This window comes from Homo sapiens, chromosome 6 (assembly GCF_000001405.40).
Source record: "Homo sapiens chromosome 6, GRCh38.p14 Primary Assembly".
Lineage (NCBI taxonomy): Eukaryota > Metazoa > Chordata > Mammalia > Primates > Hominidae > Homo > Homo sapiens.
The window spans coordinates 168,378,858-168,384,844 of record NC_000006.12 but is presented as its reverse complement, the minus strand read 5'-3'; the positions used below and the strand labels follow the sequence as shown (position 1 = coordinate 168,384,844).

General features: G+C 55.3%; 2 annotated features.

Moving 5' to 3' along the window:
* Positions 805-1,304: an enhancer, noted in NCBI's record as "H3K4me1 hESC enhancer chr6:168784221-168784720 (GRCh37/hg19 assembly coordinates)". NCBI's record gives its function as "activates a minimal SCP1, AML or CMV promoter by ChIP-STARR-seq in naive H9 embryonic stem cells {active_cell/tissue: H9 hESC(naive)}" and the evidence as "EXISTENCE:reporter gene assay evidence [ECO:0000049][PMID:30033119]".
* Positions 1,305-1,806: an enhancer, noted in NCBI's record as "H3K4me1 hESC enhancer chr6:168783719-168784220 (GRCh37/hg19 assembly coordinates)". NCBI's record gives its function as "activates a minimal SCP1, AML or CMV promoter by ChIP-STARR-seq in primed H9 embryonic stem cells {active_cell/tissue: H9 hESC(primed)}" and the evidence as "EXISTENCE:reporter gene assay evidence [ECO:0000049][PMID:30033119]".

Here is a 5,987-nt window from a genome sequence, read left to right as displayed (position 1 = left end):
GTGTTTTAACTCTGAGCAGCGCTGGATTTGTGGTGATGTTGTAACTCCTAACCCATGATTTATGAGTGGTTTTTGACTTAGAAAAGCATGTTCTCTCTGCCCGGACTAACAGAATGCTCAAGCCTGGCGGAGGCACCCCGGAAGGCTCACGCACCCGGCCCCTCTGTCCGGACACCCCCATAGGCCTGACTCCCCTGTGGCCCCGTTTCCCCAGCTCACCAGGTAAGGGCTGTTCACAAAGAAGAAGAAAAATGGCAGAACTTTCATTAATGACGTTCACGTTAGGAGAACTTGCCCTTCACCACACACCCACTGAAACAACAGGGCTTCCTCCTGAGGAAAATGGGAAGCGCCGGGGGGAGTCTCAGGTCCTGGTAGTTGACGGCAAGCTTCAGATCCAGGAGAGATGAGTCTCATTTCCATTTAAAAAATAATTCACTCTTAAAAGCAGGGCACTGCTCAAGACTATATAAAGCTCACACTCTACATTCTTGAACGTACTTCAATAATTGTAAATGTGGGAATGCACAGTCAGTAACTGGGAAACTAAAATGTGAGATTCCAACACATTTACTCAGTGTTGCTGTTGAATTCTCCATGTGTCACGTGGCCTTTGCCGGGAGAAGCCGGCCTTCTGCCCAGGCAGTTTAGGGACAGACTTACTCTTCACTTTTATGTAGAAACCAACAGAGCCCCTTTCAGCTTCCACCAGGTCCTTAGGACAGATGATTCCTCCCCTTACACACAGGTAGTGAAAAAGCAATTCCACCCAGAAAAAAACTACTAACCGAGAATGATCAAATTCCTATCAAGCTTCAGCAGATTCAACACCAGAAGTTGGTCAAAGGAAACTCAAGTCTTTGCCTAAGTATTTCCATAGAAGTTCCATTGTTGACCAAGAGAAGACACGGGCTTCTCACTGAACTTTCCTTTAATGGGTTCCAAATTCTGTAATAGATTTTGACCAAGTTGATTCAATGAAAATGTGCTGACTTTAAAAACTAGTAACTTAAAACTGCCACGCATGCACACACACGCACGCACACACACGCACACACGCACGCACACACATGCATGCACACACACGCACACACACGCATGCACACACACGCACACATGCACGCATGCACACACGCACACACATGCATGCAAACACGCACACACACGCACGCACACACACGCAAACATGCACGCGTGCACACACACGCACACACATGCACACAGACGCACGCACACACACATGCATGCACACACATGCATGCACACACATGCAAACATGCACACATGCACACACACGCATGCAAACACACACATGCACACACACGCATGCAAACACGCACGCATGCACACGCACGCACACATGCATACACAAACACGCATACATGCACACACGCATGCACACATACACATATGCAAACACATGCACATGCATGCACGTGCACACACGCACGCACATGCGCACACACGTGCACACACGCATGCAAATATGCATGCATGCACACTCACGCACACATGTATGCATGCACACACGCACACACATGCAAATACGCATGCACACACATGCACACACATGCAGGCATGCAGACACATGCACGTGCACACATGCACACACACATGCAAACGCACATACATGCACACACGCACATGCACATACAAACACATGCACACACGCACGCACACATGCACACGCACATGCACACACGCAAATATACACACATGCAAATATGCATGGATGCACACACTCACGCACACACGCACACACACACATGCACACACACACAAATGGTCCACACTTTCTCCTTCCTTCTGAAGGCCCGTGCAAAATGTCTCCTCAGCACCAATATTGCAGTGTCTAAACCCCATCTGCTGGGTCACCTCTTGTCCTGGAAGCTGACCAAATATTTGATCAGATCACGGAGAAGTCCGCCCCATGTTCTCCCTGGGTACCGAGGCTCAGTACCCTGTGACCACAGCTGGGTGGGGGTGGGGGCTGTCCATAAAATACACCACTGATGGTGGCCTTCCAGGGGTACTGAGGCTTACGGCCCTGTGTCCACAGCTGGATGGGGGTGGAGAGTGTCCATAAAATACGCCACTGATGGTGGCCTTCCAGTGGTGTTTTCAGAAGCAAAGCTAACTCATTGTAGGTTGAGTTCCTGAAGAACTTGCTGCCATCAGCTGACCTGGGCAGCCCTGGCTTTGAATCCCAGCACAGGACTCTGTGACATTAAACAAGGGAGTTAGCCTCTGTGAAATCCTGTCTCCATGTCTGTAAAATTAGGACATTAATGCCGGCTCACCAGGATTTTAAATTTTAAATTACGTGGAATAAGCAGCGAGTGCATGACAGAATTCTTAGGCTCTCACACGTGCCCAGCACAAAGTAATTCCTGCCTCTTTCCCCTAAAGCTTTCACCTCCCAGACTTCACGGTCCTGGTTCTACCTAATTTGCCACAGCCCTTTAGTTTGAGTAACAGCTGCGTAGGGCACTTCTGAAGGTTTGGAGAACCCTTGGCGACGTTACCCAGCAAAGCACCGGGCGTTATGAACAACACAGGCAAGCGTATGCAGCTGGGGGCGTCAGACAGAAAGCAGCAGGCGGGGGGCTCACCTGCAAGCGCATGCAGCCAGGGGCATCAGACAGAAAGTGGCAGGCAGGGGGGTCGGGAGCATTTCAAATGGACCTATGTCACAATTGCGTCTCAATCCAACCCTGCACCAGCCATCATTTTTGGTTTCTCTCCAGATTAAAAATAATAAGCAGGAAAAATTAAAGACCTATGACCATCCTGGGCAGAAAACCTGTCTATGTGTCCACAGGCCACAGGGCCGCTCTGGGCGGTCACCGGCTGAAAGCCCATGAGGCTCCGAACGGAAAGTTTTGGCACCAGCTCATGCTGTCATTCACGCACTCTCGTGGAGTCCAGCAGCCCTGCCGGCGGTGGGTGGTGGATGGGTGTCTGGTGGAAACGTGACCACATCGTGGAGTCCAGCAGCCCTGCTGGCAGTGGGTGGTAGATGGGTGTCTTGTGGAAATGTGACAGCAGGTGACTCATGGCTCCCGTATTGGGCTCTTGTATTTTCTTTGAATGAATGTCACTCACTGTCTTGCAGATGCCCACAGCCTGGCAGTAGGTAATTTTCTAAACAAGGACCGTGGAGCTTGAGTGTAGGGAGGGCATGGGTGGCAGCAATGGCCGGCGCTTGGCAGGCCTGATTAATTCACCTTTTTAGCATGGCTTGGGTGAGAGGCCATTGGAAATTCTTCCTTAATTATGAAGAAATTAACATGGAAGGTTTGTACCTGTCAGAATGCACACAACTTCAACATGAAGGACACGGCTTACCCAGTGTGGAAGGCTGAATCATGATGCCCGCGGTGCCATGCCCTAATTCCCAGAATCTGATGCCCGCAGTGCCACGCCCTAATTCCTGGAATCTGATGCCCGTGGTGCCACGCCCTGATCCCTGGAACCTGGGGATGTGGCCTTGCGTGGCAAAAGGGACTTTGCAGATGTGATTGAGGAAAGGGCCCACAGAGGAAAGATGACCCTGATGATCTGGGTGGGCCCTAAATTTCCCGAATTAATCACAGGCGTCCCTGGAAAAGACAGGCAGAGGGCCGCTGACCTCAGGAGAGGGAAGGGGCCCTGGTGTCAGGGGCAGGGGTTGAAGCGATGTCCTCTGAAGATAGCGGGGGCCAGGAGTCGAGGACCACGGTGGCCTTGGAAGCTGGAACAGGCAGGAAGGGGTTCTCCTGGAGCCTCCAGAAGGGGCCACCCCTGTGGACACTTTGACTTGGGCCCAGTGGGACTAATTTCTGGCCCACGGAACTACAAGATGGTAGATTTGTGTTGTTTTGAGCCACCAAATGTGTGTGGTTTTTGCAGCTGCAGTGGGAAAATCACACGCCCCATGTCATGAGTGCATCGCCCAGCAGGGCTGCGTGGGACTCGGGCTATGTGGGACTCGGACTCGGGCTGTGTGGACTCGGGCTGTGTGGACTCGGGCTGCGTGGGACTCGGACTTGGGCTGTGTGGGCCTCAGGCTGTGTGGGACTCGGGCTGTGTGGGCGTCAGGCTGTGTGGACTCGGGCTGCGTGGGATTCGGTCTACGTGAGACTCGGGTTATGTGGGACTCAGGCTGTGTGGGACTCGGGCTGTGTGGACTCAGGCTGTGTGGGACTCAGGATGTGTGGGACTCAGGATGTGTGGACTCAGGCTGTGTGGGACTCAGGATGTGTGGACTCGGGCTGTGTGGGACTCGGGCTGTGTGGACTCGGGCTGTGTGGGACTCGGGCTGTGTTGACTCGGGCTGTGTGGGACTCGGGCTGTGTGGGACTTGGGCTGCGTGGGACTTGGGCTGTGTGGACTCGGGCTGTGTGGGACTCGGGCTATGTTGACTCAGGCTGTGTGGGACTCGGGCTGCGTGGGACTTGGGCTGCGTGGGACTTGGGCTGTGTGGACTCGGGCTGTGTGGGACTCAGGATGTGTGGGACTCAGGATGTGTGGACTCAGGCTGTGTGGGACTCGGGCTGTGTTGACTCAGGCTGTGTGGGACTCGGGCTGCGTGGGACTTGGGCTGCGTGGGACTTGGGCTGTGTGGACTCAGGCTGTGTGGGACTCGGGCTGTGTGGGACTCGGGCTGTGTGGACTCAGGCTGTGTGGACTCGGGCTGTGTGGGACTCAGGCTGCGTGGGACTTTGGCTGTGTGGGACTCGGGCTGCGTGGGACTTTGGCTGTGTGGACTTTGGCTGTGTGGACTTTGGCTGTGTGGACTTGGGCTGTGTGGGACTCAGGCTGTGTGGACTCGGGCTGCGTGGGACTTGTGCTGCATGGGACTCAGGCTGTGTGGGACTCAGGCTGTGTGGACGTGGGCTCTGTGGGACTCGGGCTGTGTGGACTTGGGCTACGTGGGACTTGGGCTGCGTGGGACTCGGGCTGTGTGGACCTGGGCTGTGTGGACTCGGGCTGTGTGGGACTTGGGTTGCGAGGTACTCAGGTTGTGTGGACTCAGGCTCCGTGGACTCGGGCTGCGTGGACTCAGGCTGTGTGGACTCGGGCTGCGTGGGACTCGGGCTGCATGGGATTTGGTCTACGTGGGACTCGGGCCGCGTGGGATTTGGTCTACATGGGACTCGGGCTATGTGGGACTCAGGCTGTGTGGGACTCGGTCTGTGTGGACTCAGGCTGTGTGGGACTCAGGATGTGTGGACTTGGTCTGTGTGGACTCAGGCTGTGTGGGACTCAGGATGTGTGGACTCGGGCTGTGTGGGACTCAGGATGTGTGGACTCGGGCTGTGTGGGACTCGGGCTGTGTGGACTCAGGCTGTGTGGGACTCGGGCTGCATGGGACTTTGGCTCTGTGGGACTCGGGCTGTGTGGACTCGGGCTGTGTGGGACTCAGGCTGTGTGGACTCGGGCTGTGTGGGACTCGGGCTGTGTGGGACTTTGGCTGTGTGGGACTCGGGCTGCGTGGGACTTTGGCTGTGTGGACTTTGGCTGTGTGGACTCGGGCTGTGTGGGACTCAGGCTGTGTGGACTCGGGCTGCGTGGGACTTGTGCTGCATGGGACTCAGGCTGTGTGGGATTCAGGCTGTGTGGACGTGGGCTCTGTGGGACTCGGGCTGTGTGGACTTGGGCTACGTGGGACTTGGGCTGCGTGGGACTCAGGCTGTGTGGACCTGGGCTGTGTGGACTCGGGCTGTGTGGGACTTGGGTTGCGAGGTACTCAGGTTGTGTGGGACTCAGGCTGTGTGGACTCAGGCTCCGTGGACTCAGGCTGCGTGGACTCAGGCTGTGTGGACTCAGGCTGCGTGGGACTCGGGCTGCGTGGGATTTGGTCTACGTGGGACTCGGGCCGCGTGGGATTTGGTCTACGTGGGACTCGGGCTATGTGGGACTCAGGCTGTGTGGGACTCGGTCTGTGTGGACTCAGGATGTGTGGGACTCAGGATGTGTGGACTCGGTCTGTGTGGACTCAGGCT